This window comes from Homo sapiens, chromosome 5 (genome assembly GCF_000001405.40).
Source record: "Homo sapiens chromosome 5, GRCh38.p14 Primary Assembly".
Classification (NCBI taxonomy): domain Eukaryota; kingdom Metazoa; phylum Chordata; class Mammalia; order Primates; family Hominidae; genus Homo; species Homo sapiens.
Window position 1 is genome coordinate 468,438 of NC_000005.10, and position 20,480 is coordinate 488,917.

The following is a 20,480-nucleotide window of genomic DNA, read 5'->3' on the forward strand; positions in this document are numbered from 1 at the left end:
GACATCCCCTCAGCCTGGAGGGCGCCCTCCTGGTCCCCTCCTGTCTGACATCCCCTCAGCCTGGAGGGTGCCCTCCTGGTCCCCTCCTGTTTGACATCCCCAGAGTTACTCCTTGGGTCCTTTGAGAGATGAGACACCAGCTGCACCCAGCAAGCCCTGTCCCCACCCCCAGGTGAGCAGACCTCTGGCACCGGGTGTTGCCAGCCAAGTCAGCCATACCTGGTAGACGAGCAATGGCAGGAGTGTAAATTTTGGTAAAAGTAAATATGAAAGTGAATATTTACTTGGAGTACACTTCAAGACCCGCGAATCATGCTTTCCCTGATAGAGAATCCTTTAAATTCTCTTTTCTAAAATGTACCCATCTCTCTACAGCATCTGCCTTCAATGGTAGCATCATTTTGCACGTTAATCTTTAATTTTTTTCCAAAGCTAATCAAGGCATTACCCCGGAGGCCGGGCGCAGTGGCTCACGCCTGTAATCCCAACACTTTGGGAGGCCAAGGTGGGTGGATCATTTGAGATCAGGAGTTTGCAAAGACCAGCCTGGCCAACATGGTGAAACCCCATCTCTACTAAAAATACAAAAATTAGCCAGGTGTGGTGGTGCATGCCTGTAATTCCAGCTACTTGGGAGGCTGAGGCAGAATTGCTTGAACCCCGGAGGCGGAGGTTGCAGTGAGCCGAGATTTCACCACTGCACTCCAGCCTGGGCAACGGAGCGAGACTCCGTCTCAAAGGAAGGGGGGAATTACCCAGGATGAGCAGGGAGTCCTGGGTCCTGGTGCTCAGAGGGGCAGACCCCTGTGCTCTCTTAATTTACAGAAAAGTATTGATTTGGTTGAGTGAGTGAAAGGCATTGACCTTCATTCCTCCTCTCGCCTGTGTATACAGCGCTTCGTTCCCTCCATCCCTGTCTGTCTCAGAGCCCCAGGGACTCGCAGATGGGCGAGGTGGGGGTGTCAGCGGGCCCTTCTGTCCCTGTGAGGACCCCACAAGACTGGCCCATGGGCCCCAGGCAGTGCAGGTGGGAGAGGCGGGGGTGTCAGCGGGCCCTTCTGTCCCTGTGAGGACCTCACAAGGCTGGCCCACGGGCCCCATGCAGTGCAGGTGGGAGAGGTGGGAGTGTCAGCAGACCCATCTGTTCCTGTGAGTACCCCACAAGGCTGGCCCGTGGGCCCCGTGCAGTGCAGGTGGGAGAGGTGGGGGTGTCAGCGGGGCCATCTGTTCCTGTGAGGGCCTCCCATGGCTGCCCATGGGCCGCAGGTACTCCAGCCTGAGGACACGCTTTGCTCTCAAGACGTTTTTGAGATGGCAGAGTTGACATTTTGCTTTTATTTCATCCTCACAAGATGTGAAAAATTCACAAATGGGACTTCTTGAAAGAATCAAAACTTGAGAAGTAACTGAGAAGTAGAAGCAGCTCTTAACAAGCATCAGGGGCTCAGAAGAGGTAGCTCTTCCCAGGGCATCCAGCGGGCGAGCTGTTCCATGTGCCTCTGAACCCAGCTTCCCACTTAGCAGCAGGTCTTGAGTGCACCTGGCATACAGTAAGTGCTCAGTAAATGCATATGAATTAGAATTCGTAGTGTTCACAGTCATTAGAGTGTCCCTTATAAGAATGAAAAATGCATTTATTTTCCCACTGAGAGGGAATTCTTGTTACTTCTGGAATGAGTGCCCAGGGCGAATGGTGGTGAGTGTGCAGCCCTCACTGGTGTTTTGCTCTGATTCTGTGTGAGGGTCACCGCTGGGACCCACGGTCACTGGTCACATCCTCCTCACGGGTGCCTGCAATGACAGGCCTCCGCAGGGGGCTCTGACCCCATCTGTCTGCACCGGAGGGGCTGTGCTCAGATCCAGGGGTCGCGCCACAGCTGTGTCCAGTGGCTTCCTCACACCAGCTAGGAAGGGCAGCAACAGCACGTGCACGCACACACGCACACAACGCGCACACACACGCATGTGTCAGTGCTAATTTTTGGGCAGAGCGATGTCTGCCTACAGGAGACGTCTCCTTAAATTCTCATAGGTGGATATTTCTCTTTTATAAACAAAGTTTGCACCCAAAATGCCTTGAAATGTTTTTAATAGAATTGGTCTAGTAATCGTTCAGGATTTCGGTGATGGGCCCTCCCTGTCTGGACACTGCCAACCCACAGCTGGAGGGGCACTTAAGGCACGTCATTTTGTGATTAGAATTACACGAAATTTGATTAATATTATAGCTGCAAAATTAACATACACAATTTTCACTCATAATTTAAAATATTTTGATGAAATTCTTTGCTTTCACAATAGAAGATCAATGGTACACAGTATATTGAACTCTGTAACAAAATTATTTTTGAGAAAATACAGAAGTGAGAAATAGTGATTTCCTCAATTTGTTTATAGTCTATCACAAAGTAGGCCAAAGTTCAGTATTAAATAGATATCCTAATAAAAGTTTTTACAAGTTTTCCTAAGGAAATACATTCATAAGACTGTTTACCTTCTGTTTGACAGCAGTGACAGGAACGTGGGGATCCCCACTCATGACGAGTCCCTAGCACTCAGCCCCTGGCACCCACAGCCCCGGCGCGCTCCGTCACCTGGTAGGGAGCAGCCTGGGCTGCCGTGAGTGAGGTGTTCTCACTCTGGTTCCGTGTTTGTGTTTAGCCTGTGCAATTCTCGTCAACACAGAACACCTGCCTGCCCACCCCCGGTGCTGAAGACCGACCAGTCAAGGAGGTGTTGGTGGGAGTGTTGTGTTCACCATGTGGAGATCAGGCGGCGATTACCGCATCTTCTTTGCTGACTTTGGTAACCGGGTGTCCAGGGAGGAGCGATCGGGAGTGGCCAAGCAGTTGCCTGGACTCAGCTTCTGACTCTGCAGCTGGGAGTCAGATGCAGGCCCAAGGGTCCAGGGGAGTTGTTCAGCGCCTGGAATCGCCATGCATTGCGCGGTGGACCGCACGACGCTCCTGCTCTGTTCTCCCAGGCACAGACAGGCACTTGGAAGGCAGCTTTGCTCCTCTGGCCACCCGGAAACCTCCCAGCAGTTCAGATGGGACAAACTGGGGGCCTGTCAGAACAGCCACTTGTGCCGGGAAGGCCAGGCCCCGGCCTGCTCCGATGAACGTCAGGACGGTGGCTGCAGCAGGGAACCAGGGCTGGCCTTGGATCTGTCCAGTAGGGTCACTGACTGGGCAGGGCTTGCTGCATAGAGGATGGCTGCATTTTGTGCTCAGAGTTGGTTGAAATGGCTACGAAGTGTGGAGAATAACCACTGAATCCCAAAAAGTCACTGCGCTTGATCTGATCCAAGTAACAGTGACTGCAGTTAGGGTCGAGAGCTTCTCCGAAGCAGCGGTCATGCAGGCTTTTGTGTGGCTGACGCTTCCCTTTTTCACAACAGTAAAAAGCTATCAATGGGAAATTGTGGACTTTTCCCACCAGGGACTCAATGGGGACTCAATGTGCAATATTCAGTCAACATAAAACTCTTTAAGAACTCCTCCTGACTGGTGACTGTCAACACTTGATCTGAAACGTGAATAGTTTAATTTTCCTGAGCAAGGAGCTGCGAGTCTAGCTTTAGAAAAGCCCCTAGGAGTGTCCACCTCCACCACTTCCACCGTGCAGGCAGGTTTCAGGTGGGTTGGACCCTGTGGGACTTGCCGTCTGAGGGATGGATGGACTCCGAGCACCCTCCCCGGCTCAGCACCCGCGGCCTCCGCCCACTCAATGGACTGTGCCTCCCAGAGCTTGGGCTGGATGGTCTCCCTGCAGAGGACCAGGAGCTCTGTCCAAGGCCTCGCCCTGGGACGCTGGAAGGGGTGGGAAGGGTCAGGGGTCCGGGGTCTAGGACAGGCTCAGGGGTCTCAGCAGGTTCTCCTTGGAGGGCCTGAGCCTGGTAGGGGGGCGGTGCCCTGGGCCCCTCCATGCCCCCTGGTTTGTTAAGGGGGACAGAGCAGCTGCTGGGCCCCACCATCCACTTAAGGACTGGCCGTGATTCTTGGCAAGCTCCGCCCGCCAGGCCACCTCTCACCCAGCCAGGGCACCCCGGGCGACCTCCGCGCCAGGTGCGACAGCTCAGGCCGGAGACCTCGTCTGTGGGGACGGGCCGTGTCCGGGGCCGCCACCCTGAGACCGGGCGCGGGCAGGACGGAACCTGGGGGGGAAACGGGGCAGGTACTGGCTTTAGGAGTCTAAATCCCCAAACGCTGAGCAGACGGAAGACGTTCCTGCCACTTTACCTGCAGTTCAAAGACCTGGCGAGGGCCTGGAAACGGCGCTCGGCCCAGGCCGCTTGCGGGCGCTGGGCCTGCAGCCGCTGCAGGTCGGGCCCTGAGTCCTGGCGCTCGGGAGGTCCCTGAGTCGGTCCCCGAGTCAGTCCCCGGGCGCGGGGCTCGGTTGGGGGGGCCCGGAACCTTGGGCTGGTTTCACGCAAATCCGTTTGGGGCGAGCCTCGGTTTCCCGGCAGCGGTGGGAAAGGGCGCGAGCGGCCAGCCATGGCGCGCGGACCCTTCCCGCCGGCGGCGTCACAGCGGCGTCTCCTCCTGCTCCAGCGCGTGCGGCGGTGCGTGGCACGAGGGCGGCAGCGACGCCAGCTTCAGCAGCGCGGGGCGGCGGCGCGCGCGAGGCCGCTGGAACGAGCGCCGGCTGTGCACGCGGCGCGCCGCCGCCGAACGCGCGTGCGCACTCGGCAGCCCTCGGCGCTCCGGCCCCGCCCCCGGCGCAGGCCCCGCCCCCGGCTCGCCCTCGGGCGGCTCTGCGGGCGCAGGCGCGGCACTCTCGGAGTTCTGCGCAGGCGCTGGCGTGGGCGAGGCGGGGCTCGGGGCTCGCGGTCGCTGTAGCCGCGCGGGGATCTGGGGTTTCTCTGGGACAGCGGCGGCGGCGGTGGGCGGACCGTGGCGCGGGGACGAGCGGCCGGTTAGCGGCGTGTCGGAGCCGGTGTCACCTGCGGGAGAGGAAGGCGTGAGCGGCGCGCGGAGCCCGGGCGCTGGGGCGGGAGGGGCGTCCCCGGGGGCCTCAGCTGTCCCCGAGCCCGGCGGCTCTCGCCTCCCCTCCCGCGGCGCACCCCAGGCTCGGCGTCCGCTGGGGCCTCCTCCCAGGACCCGGGTTCGCGGGGCAGAGGCGGAAGCAGCAACAGCGAAGCCCCAGCCCGGCCCCGCCACGTCCCCCCGCCGGGGGTCCCGGGACAGCGGCCTCCTCGGCGCAGGAAGGTCCCGCCCCAGGCCCTGCAGCGCGGGAGGTCAAGGTCCCCAAGGGGACCTGCTTCCTCCATCTCAAACCGCCCTGGCGTCCCCCGGGTGCCTCCCAGGCCCCCAGAGGGAGCTCAGAAAGCCCAGACCCCACGGCCCGCCCCTCTCCCTGCTCTGAGCTGGAGGCAGAGTCCGGGTCTGCGGGGCCGGCCCTCCCTGTATCCCTGTGAGAGGGTCGGGGACCCGGGGCGTCTGTCTGGCTTCCCCCAGCCCTGCTCTCAGCTCCCTGGGAGCGCAGGATTTGGACTCGCGGACTAGCTTTCGGAGCCACCTAAAGGAAATCTCAGGCGGCCCTAGTGCCCTCAGCTCCGTGGGAGCAGCAGAGACGCCAGAGTATCTCTGTCCGGGCTCCTGAGGGAGGTGCGGCCAGCAGGGCGCTAGAGGAGGAAGAGGGGCTGCTGGAGAGAGAGAGCGCGCCAGGTTCAGGTCCAGGGAGGAGAGAGAGCGAGCGCGCGAGGCGGAGACCTGGAGGGAGAGGAGCTGCGGAGAGGGGTTAGGCGGGGAGGGAGAGAGAGAACCAGGTTCCGGTCCAGGGAGGAGAGAGACAGCGCGCGCGAGGCGGAGACCTGGAGGAGAGGAGCTGCGGAGAGGGGTTAGGCGGGGAGAGAGAGAGAGCGAGCCAGGTTCAGGTCCAGGGAGGAGAGAGACAGCGCGCGCGAGGCGGAGACCTGGAGGGAGAGGAGCTGCGGAGAGGGGTTAGGCGGGGAGGGAGAGAGAGAACCAGGTTCAGGTCCAGGGAGGAGAGAGACAGCGCGCGCGAGGCGGAGACCTGGAGGAGAGGAGCTGCGGAGAGGGGTTAGGCGGGGAGAGAGAGAGAGCGAGCCAGGTTCAGGTCCAGGGAGGAGAGAGACAGCGCGCGCGAGGCGGAGACCTGGAGGGAGAGGAGCTGCGGAGAGGGGTTAGGCGGGGAGGGAGAGAGCCAGGTTCAGGTCCAGGGAGGAGAGAGACAGCGCGCGCGAGGCGGAGACCTGGAGGGAGAGGAGCTGCGGAGAGGGGTTAGGCGGGGAGAGAGAGAGCGAGCCAGGTTCAGGTCCAGGGAGGAGAGAGACAGCGCGCGCGAGGCGGAGACCTGGAGGGAGAGGAGCTGCGGAGAGGGGTTAGGCGGGGAGGGAGAGAGACAGCGCGCGCGAGGCGGAGACCTGGAGGGAGAGGAGCTGCGGAGAGGGGTTAGGCGGCGGGAGGCCCGGGAGCGTTACATGTGTGTGGACTCGGGGAGGGCGGCGGGGGGCCGCTCCTCGGGGCCGTCTGCCTGCAGGAAGGAGTCCACGGACTTGCTGCTGAGGCGGAAGGGCATCAGGCGGCAGAAGGTGCCGGGAGAGTAGGGAATCTGCGTGCGGGCCCTCTGCGAGGGGACCACCGTCTCCCCGGGAGACAGCCAGGGCGGCAGCCTGGCCAGGAGGCTGCGGTCCAGGGCCTCGTCCGGAGAAAACACAGGGTTGTCAATTCCTAGGAGAGAGGGCAGCGGCTAGTCAGCCTTCGGAGAGCCCCACGGCGGCAGGGGAGACCTCGCCGGGGCCGTCACCTGCTGGGTGCCTTGGAAAGTTAGGGTCACCGGGAAGGTTAGGGTCACGTGCCTTTCAGGTTGCGGGCCCTTCCCCCACATCCATGACCCCACACGCCACAGGCAGCACAGGTAACGTCTCGCTTCCCTCAAGACATACCCCACCTGCTCCCTGCCCGGCCCACGTCTCCCCGGACAGCAGCCTCCGAGTTGGTTGAGGGGGCACTCAGTGGGTGCCAAGCAGGGCCCTTGAGAACCCACAGGAGACCCCACCCCCCCAGGTCCCAGTGCCCCTGGTCCAATGACCGAGCTCCCTCCTGGGGCGGCAGGAGCCACCCCTCCCTTAGCCACGACGCCTGTGCCCCGTCCCCACCTGCAGGGGAGTCGGACGCTGTGTCCTTGGTGACACTAGCCAGGAACTCGATCCCCCCACTCATCTCCTCATCATAGTTGGGGGGCTCCTCGGTGTCTGAAAGTTCCAAGTCTGGGGAAGACAGGTTGGGGTGAGGACTGGGGTCACTGGGGGGCTGTCCTCACAGCCCAGTCAGCAGTGTCCATCAGCTCTGTGCACAGAGGTGCAGGCAGTCGGGACCCACAGAGAGGAGGGCTAAACCGCAGGGCTGGAGGAGGGACCCCACTTAGAGGGCAGTGTCCCTGGAACCCCATCCTGGGTGGGTCTGCAGCTGGGGCCCTGACCATGCCTCCCCTGCCTGGGTGGCTGGAGGGTCCCCAGAGGGGAAGGTCCTGAGAGGGGAGGTTCCCGAGCCGGGAGGGCTGGGGCTGGGAGGTGGTGGCTCCCAGTCCCAGCGTTCCTGCAGGGCCCCCAGCGCACCTTTCTCCTTGATGGTGAAATTCTGCGCAGGGCTCTCCATGGGCAGCTTCCCATTGGGGATGCTGCTGTTTCTCTGCGGAGCAAACGTGAAGCTGCTCACACCCCGACACAGCCACACCCAGCCCTGACTGCCCCCGCTCCAGGCCCCAGCCCCGCCAAGCCTCCTGGTGACCCAGCCTTACCCGCTTCTGGGCACGCTCCCGCTTGTACAGCTTGGCCGCCTTCTTGTTCTGGTTGAGCCCCAGCTTGGTCGACTTGAAGGACTCCAGGCGCTTCCGCATGGTCCTGTGGAAGATTTCCCGGTCCTGTTTCTCGTCCTCCGTGGGCGTGAGCTCGTGTCGGCTGTACAGATGCTTGTACTGCGGGATCAGGCACGGAGGTCACAGCTGTGCCCACCGCCGGACATTCTCGCCCTCCTGCCGCAGGAGCTGAGCACGGATCCCCCGTGGTCCCAGGAGGGGACGAGGAAGCCGCCCCACGGGGTCCCTGCGGGGTCCTCCAGCCCCCAGCCCGCAGTGCCCACCTCCTGCCGCGGCTTGTACAGGTACTGCTGTAGCGTGTGGTGCGTGACCATGTCCTCCGCGTCCCGGATGCTCCGCCGTCGCTGCTCCAGAGACTGCATGTCCAGGCAGACAGCGCTGACATTTTCTCTCCTGCGTGGGGACCAGCGCTGAGCCATACAGGCTCCCTCAGGGTGGGGTCTCTTGCGCGCCCCTCGCCTTCCCACGGCGGGCATCTGGCCCTGGCTGCCTCCTGCGTGCCCCTCGCCTTCCCATGGTGGGCACCCGGCTGGGGCACGGGGACATCTGCCATCTGGCCAGCCCCTTCTCCCCTCGGGGCTTAGGCTGACTCCCCACGAGGCCTTCCTGGCCTCCTGTCTGAAGTGGGTCCCTTTCCTTACTGGTCCCTCTCCAAAGCCCTGGCTGTAAGACTCGGGGACCCCAGCATCTGCACATCTGGCAGAGTGGACCTCCTATGAGAACTGGCTGTGAGCTGTGGAGCCCAGGGCCGGAGGAGCAGTAAGGGTGGCATGGGGACCAGGACAGGCTGCTGCGGGCCAGGGGCAAACACGTCAGGCCTGGCCCCCAGTCCGCTGCTGCCCCTCCCTTTCACCTTCCATCCAGCACTAAGGGAGTCTGGCCACGGCCTAATATAGGAGGGCTTGTGGAAGGAGACACCCACCCCCTCTTTCTGCACCTCTCCCCTCTTCCATGCCACCCCCAGGCCAGGAGCCACCACAGCCCTGTCTGTGACTCTCAGCTCCCGAGGCTGGGCTCTTCCCCAGGGAAGCTGCATGACCATGGCCACATACAGGAGGTAGGAGACAGAGGCCTCCACGGTGGACGATCGTGGCGTGAAGTCCACGTTGACCACGTTGTCGGTGCTGGGGGAGCGGATGAAGGCCAGGGACCCGCGGCGCTCTCCCTGTGGTCAGGAAGCAGCCCGGTCAGTGGCCTGAGCAGCCAAGCCCTAGCTGCTGCCATTGTGTGCCCTGGGGGGAAGCGCCCAGAGCTCGGGGCCCGGGGAAAGCCTTGAGACCTGAGCCCCGGGTTCACGCCTCACAGCTGCAGAGGGAGGGGTGGAAATGCCAAAACCAGGAGATCAGATTTTGAGCCCCTGTCCGTCTGAGGCCACAGCCAGGCTGCTGCCTGAACTGGGCAGAGGTCATGCTTGTGGGAGGACACAGTGGTCTGAGTGTGAAGGGGTAAAGCTGCCTGGGACTTGGGATGTGTCTGGGGAAAGTGTTGATACTGCAGAATCATTGAAGTGGTCTCTGTCCCTGCAGGAGACCCTAAAACTCCATTGGCCTCATGTCCAGAACTGAATCAGGTAGAGAACGGAGCAGAGCCCGATGGGGCACAGAAGCCACACAGCTGAGTGCCAGAGGATGGAAGTGGGGCCGCCTATGTGTCCTCAGACCCCACCCGCCTGATGGCAGGGCCTGGAGAGCATGAGGTTGTGCAGGAGCACAGGGCAGAGTGGGCTTATGGCTGGAGTCAGGGTCCCCAGGGCCGGCAGGGGCACGGGTGTGGAGGGAACGTCAGCTCACTGCACTCAGACCTCGCCAGGTGGGCACCCGTGCCGCCTTCAGTGTGCAGGATGCTCCCAGGGAAGCCCCCGGGGTCAGGTGGGTGCCGCTGTTCCCACTGAAGATGCGGCCCCCAGTTCACTGCCCACTCGGGGGGGATTTGAGGGTCATTGGTTCTGAGGGCCCTCCGCCTGCTCTTTTGCTTCTAAATCCAGCATCTTCTGTATGACCTTTGTCCCGCTCCTGCCACCCCACGAAGACAGACGTGAGGGTCAGGGGAGCCACGGTGCTAACTGCCACTCTGGGCGGGCACAGGCGAGGGCTGTGCAGCACCCGGGCACGTGGGGTCTTCGGAGGGGCTGCTCCCCACACCACTTCCCCTGCCCCTGCCGAGCCCTGCCGTGGGGTGGGGGGGCGCAGGGAGAGAAAGCAGCCGCCCTGGGTGAGAGCCAGGAGGGACACTGGGCAGGCAGATGCCACCCCAGGTGTGGGGACCCCCGCTACTGAGTGGCCGGGAGGAGCCCACAGGCTCCCCACATGCAGCTGAGCCCAGGGTTGTGGTCGTGGGTCGTGGGTCAAGGATGGTGGCTGGTGTGGTTGGGGGAGAGGCTCAAGGCCCGCCTGCCAACCTTGTCACCTATGTGGGGGTGAGGGGAGCCCGCCAGAGGCCAGAGCCCCCACTGTCCCTTCCCACCCTCCAGCCAGGCTCCAGGCCTCCTAGGGCCAGAGTATCTGAGCTTTCTCTCGCTTGCCGGGCCTGTGGTTTGGGGGTTTGTGTGGAGCCTGGTCCAGGAGCCCTCCTTCCTGATCTGCACTGGCTGGCCCTCCTGACAGCCCCAGGCCCCCGTGCCCTCTGCCAGGAGGTGCCTTGCCACTTGGCATGGCCCCAGTCACGGGTGGCACATCTGGGGTGAATGCACGTCAGTGGAGGCAGAATCATTCTGTCTGAATGAATGGAGTTTCCAGGCCCCCACTGGCCCTCTGTGTGAGGGTCTGCAGGGTTTGGCAGGACAGGTCTTTCTCTCCGGCGAGAGCACCCACCCTGACCGGCTGCTGGATGAGGGCACCAAAGCTCGCTAGGGAGGGCTCTGTCCTTAGGGAGGAGCTGCGGAATCCCTGCAGCTGTGCCCCCAGGCCCTGCCTTGCACACTTCCTGCAGCCAGGGCGCCCCTGGGGAGGTCAGGGCAGGCCGGGGAGGCTGAGGCCCACCTGCCATAGTGGGCAGGTGCGGGAGCCAGGGCGGCAGTGGCCTCGGGGCTGGGTGGGGCGCCTGGCCTCTGGTCTCTGGAGCAGTCAGGGGCTCTGCAGACGCTGAGAGGCCTGCTCATAGTGGACTGGGAGATGCTGGAGCAGCCTCAGAGCCATGGCCGGCCCACAGCGGGAGACGGCCCTGCTGCTGCCCCTCTGCCTGTGCGTGTGCACCTGTGGGCACCTGCGTGTGCTGGGGCAGGCAGGGCTGTATTGGGACCAGGTCCCGTAACAGCCTGCCTGCTTACCGTCTGCTCCCATCCCTGGGGAAAGCAAGGGAGCTCGGGGTCCTAGGACCTGACCTCAGCGCTCACCCCCACCAGCACCACAGTCACCAGGACTCTGTGACTCAGTTTACCCCACGAGAGCCCCTGGGATTCCCAGGGCATCAGAAGGCCCATCAGCCTCCCGTGAACTGCTGGGGTGGGCCTGGCCTTGGGACGCGGGTGCAGGGGCCTCTCCTCACTGCCCCATGGCACCCACAGCCAGTGCCAGAGCCTGCTGCAGCCCCGACCCGGCAGAGCAAGCGGCTCTGCTACCTCAGCCACGTAGCTGATGGCATCCTTCAGGTTCAGCTCGTGGAAGACATTCAGGATCCGGTCTCGAGACTTCTGGGCCGACCGTCTCATGAGGACCCTGCTGAGGAACTTCCTGTCGAAGTGGGACCACCTGTAGGGACAGACCTTGGGTGTGAGCCTCAGGTGACAGGCGCCCTAGAGCCCGCCGGACGCGTGGCCCGGCCCCTTCTCTCCTGAATTTTGTTTGCTATAGTGACCCTGTAGGCGCGTTTAAAATGAGGGAAGCAGCCCCTGCCACACGCCCAGGCCGTCCGCCGTTCTCCCGCCTGTCCTGTTGGATGGAGGCCGTTAGACGCATATGAAACTGCATGCCGCCTCCTCCAGAGGGTGGCTCAGGACACGGTGGGTGTCAGGCCTGGTCAGGCAAGGGGGCTTTGGCCACATGGGGGGCACCTTCAGGTGCACAGGAGGAAGGGCAGGGGCGGACAGACACCCTGAGCCCTTAGACTTGTGGGAGCCAAGCTGACCAGAGTGAGGTTTTTTTTAGCCTAACGGAATTAGAGTATTCGCTGGTTATCCAGATCAGAAGGGACGGTGGCCTGGCCGGACTTAGAGGAAACTCTGGGGCACAAGGAGGTGATGCCTGTCACTTGGACATGGGTGCAGCCGCCAGAGCCGCCCTCCAGGGCACAGGGTGGGCCCGGGTGAGCTTGTGTGCTCACACCTGGGCAGGCCCCGCGGCAGCAATGGCAGCTCTCCTGTACAGGCTGAGTTTCAGCCACACCAAGAAGTCAAAGCTAACCGAGGCTGTGCCTTCCGAGACCCCCGGGATGGCCCCTGGGAGGCCAAGGAGTCGGGGACTGGGTACCCGGAGCAGAGTCACTGTGGCCACGGAGAACCGCAGCTGAGCTTTATGAAGCCACGTGGCCACACCTCCCGGTGCCTCCACCCCAAGCAAACACAGATCGCTCAGAAAATGGGAACCCAGGGCAAATTGTATGTGCTCCTTACTGGGTTTATTATAAGTGTCACATGTTTTTTATAATAAAACATAGGTGATTTCACCTTAATGGACAAACTCTTTTTTTTATTTTGGGACGAAGTCTCGCTCTGTCACCAGGCTGGAATGTAATGGCGCAATCTCGGCTCACCGCAGCCTCCACCTCCCGGGTTCAAGCGATTCTTGTGCCTTAGCCTCCTGAGTAGCTGGGATTACAGGCCCACGCCACCACCCCTGGCTAATGTTTGTATTTTTAGTAGAGACGGGGTTTCACCATGTTGGCTAGGCTGGTCTCAAACTCCTGACCTCAAGTGAGCTGACCACCTCAGTCTCCCAAAGTGCTGGGATTACAGGCTTGAGCCCTGCCAGACAAAATCATTTTAAATGTTGACTGATACTAACCCTGTTTATGACGTGGAGGAAATAATCTATTTGCCTTATTTTCAATTCCTACATAACAATTTGGAATTAATTGGGCCACATGAGAGGGCATCTCTATTCCCTGGAAGGAGCACAGAGAATTCAGCTCCTGTCCCCTCACTCGGTGGCCCCAACTGCTGCCGCCAACTCCTTTCCGCAGCACCTGCGTGTCTCGGGGCACACCTGGCACCTGGCCTCATGGGGCACCGGAGCCCTGACCAAGCCTGGACTCAAACAGTTGTTATGCATGTGGCTTCTGGTTCTTCCGAGTGGAGGATGTTTCCAGAAGCCGGGCTGTGCGACACCGCCGGGGCCGTCCCAGCCACTTACTTGTCTCTGAGATAATTGTGCCCGATCTGTCCGGATATGTCCTCGATGGCCGAGAGGATGTGGTCGAAAGCCTTTCAAGGGAAGAAAGACATGAGCGTCTCGGGGCGGCCAACCGGGGAACATGAGGTGCCCCTCCACTCCTGGCCCAGCCCCGAGGAACCCACCAGCCCCCCTCACCACGCCCCTGGCCTGGACGCAGCCTCCTCTCCCCTCCTGGCCCAGCCCCAAGGAACACACGGTGCCCTCCGCCACCCCCCAAGCCCCAGACCAACGCAGCCTCCTCTCCCCTCTCAGCCCAGCCCCGAGGAACACGCAGTGCCCCCCCCCGCCCCCCAGCCCCGCACGTATGGCGGCCTCCTCTCCCCTCCTGGCCCAGCCCCAAGGAACACACGGTGCCCTCCGCCACCCCCCAAGCCCCAGACCAACGCAGCCTCCTCTCCCCTCTCAGCCCAGCCCCGAGGAACACGCAGTGCCCCCCCCCCGCCCCCCAGCCCCGCACTTACGCGCCCGTGCAGCTTCTCGTTGAGCCGAGGTTCCCGGTGCTCGCTCCTCTTCACCTTCAGCCACTGCACCAGAGGCTTGATGGTCAGGCCCTGGAGGACAGGGTCTCGTGACCCTGGTGCCAGGCAGCCCCCCACATCCCGCTGGCCCGGCCAGGTGCACCACACAGAGCCACCTGCCCCGGGGCCCACAGGCGCCCTCCCTGCTCTCCGGGCACCCAGCAACCCGCGCCCCTGCTTTGCAGAGGAGGAAGCAGCACCCGGGGCCTCATCCACCAGCGAAGGCCCGGGAAGAACATTTTTAGGACAATTATGCTTCCTCCCCAGTGGGGCCACGTGAAAACCTACAAAACGGCTCCTAGTTACTAAAATTATGAAACCCAATTAGGGTCTGGAGCCTGGAAATGCTTGTCCTGAAGTGCGGGCCCAGGCTCCCCTCGCGGGCGGGGCCGAGACCCCAGGGCTGGCTGGGCTGGGCCTCACCTGGAAGATGACGGTGAAGAACACTACGATGATGGTGGTGCTGACGAACAGGTTCTTCTCCTTGACCTTGTCTCCATCCAGAAGCACCACCAGGGCAAAGGCCACGGCCCCGCGCAGGCCCCCGTAGGACAGGACCACCTGGTCAATGGGCTCCAGCTGCACCATGCGGTAGCGGTTCAGAAGCCAGGTCTGCAGGACCACACCTGCGGATGATGGGGCGGGCACTCAGCTCCCCGGCCGCCCTCCCAGCCGCGGGACCCCAGCCCCTCCGGGACAGCGTCTTGGCGGCCAAGCATGTGCTGACGAAGAACAGCGGCACCCTAGATACGGCGTCCCCACGCCACGTCCCTCGTCACCATCCACCCGGAGCCACACGCGGCCTGGCGTCTCCCCCCCACGCTCCGTGCATCACACACACGGGTGCTGGGGGATGGGGCTGGGCGGGGGCGGGGCTGTCTTGCTTCCCGTTCCATCTCTCGTGCCACTGACCCTGTCTTGAGGCACATCCAGTGGAGTCAGTGGGAAACCAAGTGGTTTCCCTTGGGGTTCCAGAGCCTCCCACCCCAGCCCCGAGGCCGCCACCATCAGGTCCTCTCCTCTGCCTTGCACGGGGCTGCACCTCCATCTCCCTGGGCCCAGTAGAAAGCCTGCGCCTTCCCGGAGACGGTGCCGGCCCATCGGTGGTCCCACGGCCGCAACCCGGCCCCGCCTCACCGATGGCCCGGTACACGGAGATGAAGACCAGCGTCAGGAGCACGAAGGCCGTGTTCCAGGTCCAGATGAACGGGTTCACGGCCGAGATACCCAGGAACATGAAGATGATGGTCTCGGCGCTGCTGGCCAGCATCTTCATGGTGTAGCGCACGGTGGTGGCCGACTGCTCCGAGATGTTGGCCTTCACATACTTCTGACAGCAGATGCCACAGAAGGTGATGCTGCAGGGACAGACGCGCCTCAGGACACGGCCACCTGGCCTGGCGCCCGAGGCCCCCGTGTCCGCCCAGCCCCCCACGGCCTGGCGCCTGTAGGCCCAGAGTCACAGTTGTGTGGTTACGGGGGCCTCTTCCTCCCGAGCCAGGCTGGGCCGCCAGGGTTCCTGCCCACAGCCCTGCGGGGGCCACAGGCGGCATCACCGTCATGCAGATAATGGGCACCGGGGCTGCCTGCCAGCAGGGAGGGCAACAAAGGGTTCCAAAGTCCCTCCCCACCTGACCTGTCTCAGGGTGGGCACTGCTGTCGGCCCACAGACAATTCAGTGGAAACGCCAACTCCTTATTTTAAAATTTAAATAAATTCTTTGCCCCACACTGAATTCCCACCCAGCCTGGGAGCGCCAGCGGAGCGGGCGAGGTGACGGGACACTGCTCTGAAGGTCCCGCGCTAGGACAGAGGGCAGGGGAGGCCCTCCACTTCCTGTACTTCCCCTCACGGGGGTTCACGGGGAACTTGGTGATGCAGAGCCCGGAGCTTCTGCCACACACACCCCCGGTGTCCATGCGGCTGGCACCTCCCTCCGAGTTGGGGTCCCCCTGGCTGGCTCACCCCGCCGGACCCAGGAGGGTGTGGAGAAGCTCGGGTTGGGGTCCCCCTGGCTGGCTCGCCCCGCCGGACCCAGGAGGGTGTGGAGAAGCTCGGGTTGGGGTCCCCCTGGCTGGCTCGCCCCGCCGGACCCAGGAGGGTGTGGAGAAGCTCGGGTTGGGGTCCCCCTGGCTGGCTCGCCCCGCCGGACCCAGGAGGGTGTGGAGAAGCTCGGGTTGGGGTCCCCCTGGCTGGCTCGCCCCGCCGGACCCAGGAGGGTGTGGAGAAGCTCGGGTTGGGGTCCCCCTGGCTGGCTCGCCCCGCCGGACCCAGGAGGGTGTGGAGAAGCTCGGGTTGGGGTCCCCCTGGCTGGCTCGCCCTGCCGGACCCAGGAGGGTGTGGAGAAGCTCGGGAGGAGGGCGTGGAGAAGCTCGCGTGTGTGGGAGGGACTCACGCGAGGATGGCCGACAGCGACAGCATCTCGGACGTCAGGTAGGACAGGTAGGAGATGATGAACACGAAGCCGGGCTCGATGATACGCACATGCTTGGTGAAGCGCGTCACCAGCGACAGCAGGAAGGCGAAGACCACCCCCACCAGCGTGCCCCCCAGGCTCACCACGAAGAAGGACACTGGGTAGAGGACGCCCTTTGTGGCCGTGCCGGCCTTCCGGGCCCTTCCTTGCCAGGGGCCGCCTGGTGACCCCGCGGAAGTGCCGGGAGCCCGGGAAACGGGGGTGGATCCCTCACTCTCTTGGAGATCGGGCCTGGTCTCAGCACCAGCCTTGGTTCAGCAAGTGGGGAGGACCCTCCCGTGCCCCTGGGAGCCTGGCCCCAGGCCCTATCCGGCCGTCTGTCTCAGGAAGACCTGGCTGCCCTCATCCCTGTTCTGGGAAACACCCAGGAACCCCCAGGACCATGTCAAATCGTGTGTGAATCGCTCTGGACGGGGACGTGACGTGGACAGAAGGGCCCAGTGTAGCAGCTTTGAGTGCAAAGCTTTTTCCTGCATGGGCTGCAGGCCAGAGAAGACAGTTGGCCCCAGAGGAGACACGGCCGCCCACTCCCCCTGACCCACAGCTACACACCTATGCCCTTCACGCAGTCCACGCCAGTCACGTTGTCACCTCCCAGCGCCACGAAAGATTCAAACACATTGTACAGAACCTGCAGGGAAAACGGGCAGGGCGTTGGGTGGTCCTTGGTTAGTGCCACCCCCTCTCCGGGGCCCGGGCCTCGCTGGACTTGGCCCGAGTGTGGAGCCCATGGCACCCGAGGCCGTTGGAAGGAAAATCATCACAGGGCAATGGCCCCCAAAGGGGAGAAGCCCAGAGCCCAGCAGCCAGCAAGACATGGGGCAAAAGAATGTTCTGGAGGGGACCAGAAGCTTTGGGAGCAAAGCTGGCCTCTTCCTATCCTCTGCAAAACAGGGGCAGCTGCAAAGCTCCCTGCCACTTGAATTCTGAGTCTCATCTACGGAGACAAACCCAGGGTGTCAGTTTGAGTGACTTCCCTGCTGTGCTGGCTCTAGCCCCTGCCGTCTTTGCATGTTTTTAAACCTTAGCCCGGCAAAACCCAGAGATAAAATGCGGGGAAACCTTATCCACGCCCTGGGCTCCACGCCCAGCAAAGTGGTGACGCAGGTGAGACCGGCCGAGGGCCGTCCTGGGTGGGCCGAGGCCCCTGGGGAGAACCTGGCTCTGCACCCAGCTCTGTGTCTCTGGCTCTGGCCAAGGTGGGAGAGGACCCTGGGGCAGGCGTGTAAGTTGGGTTTGCAAATGCAGGCTGGGGTGGGGGGCCCATGAGGGTCCCGGGGTCTCTTGGGGCCTTCTCGGAGCTGGGCTTTTTAATGAAAATCCAGCTGGGAGGGAAGACAACCTCTTGGGAGACTCTTGCTTCTCCAGGGACGGGAGCCGCAGGGCTGCGGGGCACACGGGGCTGTCACTCTATTCCCGATTAAGTCTCACTTCCCAAATTCCCCCGAGAATATCTTGCCGTCTGGTGTGCGACACCCACAGGACTTTCCTCTTTCCAAAACCCCTAAGGGAACATGAGAGGCTGACGGGTTTCAAACCTTTCAAACCACAGGCACTTTCAGAGGGGAGAGGAAGCTGACCCCACCCTTCCCTCCGGCTGCGTCTGCAGGGTCCTCGGGGCTGGGGGAGGATGGGCAGGGGCAGCACGGGGCGGGGGCAGTGTGGGGGCTGGGATGGTGTCGGGGCCGGGCCCAGGGCTGGCCTCACTGACGGTTCCTAGGAGGGCCACTCTGCACGTGCCCCTCGGATGGCCCCATGACTCACTTCCGGGAGGCAGTGGCCCCATTTGATGGGATTGGCTTTGAAACGTCACGATTGTCACTGTGAAGTAGTAACCATGTTCCTTGGGGTTCCTGAATCTTCTCCTGGCCTTACTGAGCGCTGATGTGGCCTTTGGGCCTCTGTGGAGGCACCGTCCCCGCCTCCCGGAACACCATCTCCTCCAGGGACACCCACACACCGTCCGGGCTCTGCCGTTAGCACCAGTTCAGTTTCCCTCCCTTCACCTCTGTCATGGGCCAAATTGTGCCCCCGAAATTCCCATGTTAAAGTCCCCAGGACCTGGGCATGTGAGCGTGAAAAAGGGGAGTATGGCACAGTCAGGTCACCGGGGTGGACCCTGATCCAATAGGACCCGTGTCCCTGTGAGAGGAGGCGACTCGGGCACATTCACGCAGGGACGGCCACGTGAGGACACGGGAAGGCACCGTCTGCAAGTCCAGGACCGGGGTCCCGCAGGAGCCCACCACACTGACACCGTGATCCAGACCGCACTGACACCCACCGCACTGACACCGTGATCCAGACCGCACTGACACCCACCACACTGACACCCACCGCACTGACACCCACCACACTGACACCGTGATCCAGACCGCACTGACACCCACCGCACTGACACCGTGATCCAGACCGCACTGACACCCACCACACTGACACCCACCGCACTGACACCCACCACACTGACACCCACCGCACTGACACCCACCACACTGACACCGTGATCCAGACCGCACTGACACCCACCACACTGACACCCACCGCACTGACACCCACCACACTGACACCGTGATCCAGACCGCACTGACACCCACCACACTGACACCCACCGCACTGACACCCACCACACTGACACCGTGATCCAGACCGCACTGACACCCACCACACTGACACCCACCGCACTGACACCCACCACACTGACACCGTGATCCAGACCGCACTGACACCCACCACACTGACACCCACCGCACTGACACCCACCACACTGACACCGTGATCCAGACCGCACTGACACCCACCACACTGACACCCACCGCACTGACACCCACCACACTGACACCGTGATCCAGACCGCACTGACACCCACCACACTGACACCCACCGCACTGACACCCACCACACTGACACCGTGATCCAGACCGCACTGACACCCACCGCACTGACACCCACCACACTGACACCCACCACACTGACACCCACCGTCGTTCAAGGCACTGCACCTGCGGTACTTTGTCATGGCGGCCCTGGCAGATTACGTGGTTCCTATGGGATTTTGTTGTTTGCTATTCACGTATTTATTTTATTTGAGATGGAGTCTCACTCTGTCACCCAGGCTGGAGTGCGATGGCACGATCTCGGCTCATTGCAACCTCTGCCTCCTGGTTTCAGGTGATTCTCCTGTCTCAGCCTCCCCAGTAGCTGGGATTACAGGCGCGTGCCACCACCCCTGGCTAATTTTTGTATTTTTAGTAGAGACGGGGTTTCACCATGTTGGCCAGGCTGGTCTCGAACTGCTGACCTCAGGTGATCCACCTGCCTCGGCCTCCCAAAGTGCTGGGATTACAGGCGTGAGCCACCGCACCCGGCCACTCATGTATTTTTTAGGAACTCAGGAATGGGTGGCAGTAACTGTGGGTCCAAAGTCACAGACGCTCTGGGGACCAGGAGGGCGGGATTTCAACAGCGCCATCATTAACCCTGAAGCTATGGAGTGGGCGGGCAGGGCCTGGGAACTGTGGAAGATACAAAGAAGCCTCGCGAAAGCTGCCAGTCGTTCTGAGCTGGGAGGAAGGAGGTGGAGGGACGGGACGCCCCCGGGAGGGGAGTTTGAGGACAGGGTTTCACGCCCTCCTTTGCTGACTGACCGATGGGGGGTGAGACGGGGCCCAGGCCTCCCACGGCTCGCCCGCTCTGGAGCGGTGGCTCCGTTGCTCACCACGGTGACTGCGTCGTTCAGCAGCGACTCCCCGAAGACGATGATGAACAGGACCTCGTTGACATGGACCTCCTCAAACACGGCCAGGACGGCCACCGGGTCCACAGCCGCCATGAGGCTGCCAAACAGGAGGAAGTCCAGCAGCCCAATCTGCAGGTCGCCTGGAAGACAAGCCGGGCCGCGGGGCAGCTGCAGGGCCTGCCACCCGAGGAGGAGGGCCCTGGGGAGGCGCTCGCCTACGGGTCGGGGTTCGGAGCCCGTCTGGCTGGCGCCGGTGGCGTGGGGAGCTGGGTCAGCTTCCTGCGTCCCTCCCACAGACCCCCAGCCCCCTCCAGGGAAGGCTGCTGTCTTCCGAGGGGGCCACCCCATCTGAGCAAGACAGACAGACAGACTGACCCTGGCCCTGGCCCTCTCCTTCATCTTTGGGTGAACGGAGGCAGGTGGGTGCAGGGGCACCGCATGCTGGGGAGGGATGGGGGCCCATCGCCTGGAGTGGCGTCCCAGCCCAGGAGAAGCAAGTGGGGCTGACCCAGGACGGGCCCGGAGCCGGGACACACAGCACCCAGGGGCGCGGCCAGGGAGGGGCAGGTGGGAGGGCCGTT

At 62.7% G+C, this 20,480-nt stretch overlaps 1 protein-coding gene and 2 long non-coding RNA genes across 4 annotated transcripts in view, besides 9 other annotated features; 1 reads left to right on the forward strand and 2 right to left on the reverse strand.

Annotated features, from left to right (window-relative positions):
• Positions 2,019 to 20,480, reverse strand: part of SLC9A3 (solute carrier family 9 member A3) — a 53,994-nt gene continuing 35,532 nt past the window's right edge. The window contains exons 3-17 of one of the 2 annotated variants that reach the window (NM_001284351.3): positions 19,879 to 20,039; positions 16,716 to 16,794; positions 16,083 to 16,260; positions 14,825 to 15,045; positions 14,111 to 14,313; positions 13,631 to 13,693; positions 13,128 to 13,198; positions 11,399 to 11,528; positions 8,895 to 9,007; positions 8,106 to 8,235; positions 7,765 to 7,941; positions 7,583 to 7,655; positions 7,124 to 7,234; positions 6,446 to 6,695; positions 2,019 to 4,945 (exon numbers count right to left, since the gene is read on the reverse strand). In NM_001284351.3, the coding sequence (NP_001271280.1) occupies positions 4,942 to 4,945; positions 6,446 to 6,695; positions 7,124 to 7,234; positions 7,583 to 7,655; positions 7,765 to 7,941; positions 8,106 to 8,235; positions 8,895 to 9,007; positions 11,399 to 11,528; positions 13,128 to 13,198; positions 13,631 to 13,693; positions 14,111 to 14,313; positions 14,825 to 15,045; positions 16,083 to 16,260; positions 16,716 to 16,794; positions 19,879 to 20,039 (1,964 nt within the window). In that variant the 3' untranslated portion in view covers positions 2,019 to 4,941. Of the gene's footprint in view, positions 4,946 to 6,445; positions 6,696 to 7,123; positions 7,235 to 7,582; positions 7,656 to 7,764; positions 7,942 to 8,105; positions 8,236 to 8,894; positions 9,008 to 11,398; positions 11,529 to 13,127; positions 13,199 to 13,630; positions 13,721 to 14,110; positions 14,314 to 14,824; positions 15,046 to 16,082; positions 16,261 to 16,715; positions 16,795 to 19,878; positions 20,040 to 20,480 lie in introns of both variants that reach the window. The other variant, NM_004174.4, reaches the window with a different exon arrangement.
• SLC9A3-OT1 (SLC9A3 3' UTR overlapping transcript 1) lies at positions 2,073 to 4,528 on the reverse strand. The gene is made up of 2 exons (NR_024158.1): positions 4,242 to 4,528; positions 2,073 to 3,528 (listed from the first exon to the last, which is right to left on the reverse strand). It is a non-coding gene; the product is annotated as an SLC9A3 3' UTR overlapping transcript 1 (long non-coding RNA).
• Positions 3,480 to 4,122: an enhancer, noted in NCBI's record as "H3K27ac-H3K4me1 hESC enhancer chr5:472032-472674 (GRCh37/hg19 assembly coordinates)". NCBI's record gives its function as "activates a minimal SCP1, AML or CMV promoter by ChIP-STARR-seq in naive H9 embryonic stem cells {active_cell/tissue: H9 hESC(naive)}" and the evidence as "EXISTENCE:reporter gene assay evidence [ECO:0000049][PMID:30033119]".
• Positions 3,480 to 4,136: a biological region, named in NCBI's record as "H3K27ac-H3K4me1 hESC enhancer GRCh37_chr5:472032-472674".
• Positions 4,007 to 4,136: a silencer, noted in NCBI's record as "silent region_15873". NCBI's record gives its function as "represses an Ori minimal core promoter by ATAC-STARR-seq in GM12878 lymphoblastoid cells {active_cell/tissue: GM12878}" and the evidence as "EXISTENCE:reporter gene assay evidence [ECO:0000049][PMID:35858748]".
• Positions 4,123 to 4,763: an enhancer, noted in NCBI's record as "H3K27ac-H3K4me1 hESC enhancer chr5:472675-473315 (GRCh37/hg19 assembly coordinates)". NCBI's record gives its function as "activates a minimal SCP1, AML or CMV promoter by ChIP-STARR-seq in naive H9 embryonic stem cells {active_cell/tissue: H9 hESC(naive)}" and the evidence as "EXISTENCE:reporter gene assay evidence [ECO:0000049][PMID:30033119]".
• Positions 4,123 to 5,506: a biological region, named in NCBI's record as "H3K27ac-H3K4me1 hESC enhancer GRCh37_chr5:472675-473315".
• Positions 4,497 to 4,566: a silencer, noted in NCBI's record as "silent region_15874". NCBI's record gives its function as "represses an Ori minimal core promoter by ATAC-STARR-seq in GM12878 lymphoblastoid cells {active_cell/tissue: GM12878}" and the evidence as "EXISTENCE:reporter gene assay evidence [ECO:0000049][PMID:35858748]".
• Positions 4,687 to 5,506: a silencer, noted in NCBI's record as "silent region_15875". NCBI's record gives its function as "represses an Ori minimal core promoter by ATAC-STARR-seq in GM12878 lymphoblastoid cells {active_cell/tissue: GM12878}" and the evidence as "EXISTENCE:reporter gene assay evidence [ECO:0000049][PMID:35858748]".
• On the forward strand, positions 4,799 to 12,455 carry SLC9A3-AS1 (SLC9A3 antisense RNA 1). Its single transcript, NR_125375.1, has 7 exons — positions 4,799 to 4,962; positions 6,700 to 6,882; positions 7,795 to 8,126; positions 8,807 to 8,899; positions 9,369 to 9,412; positions 11,345 to 11,779; positions 11,925 to 12,455. It is a non-coding gene; the product is annotated as an SLC9A3 antisense RNA 1 (long non-coding RNA).
• Positions 6,691 to 7,331: an enhancer, noted in NCBI's record as "H3K27ac-H3K4me1 hESC enhancer chr5:475243-475883 (GRCh37/hg19 assembly coordinates)". NCBI's record gives its function as "activates a minimal SCP1, AML or CMV promoter by ChIP-STARR-seq in naive H9 embryonic stem cells {active_cell/tissue: H9 hESC(naive)}" and the evidence as "EXISTENCE:reporter gene assay evidence [ECO:0000049][PMID:30033119]".
• Positions 9,727 to 9,896: an enhancer, noted in NCBI's record as "experimental_85959 CRE fragment used in MPRA reporter constructs". NCBI's record gives its function as "activates a minimal promoter by MPRAs in K562 erythroleukemia cells, with activity observed for both the introgressed and non-introgressed 5:478364 variant alleles {active_cell/tissue: K562}" and the evidence as "EXISTENCE:reporter gene assay evidence [ECO:0000049][PMID:34662402]".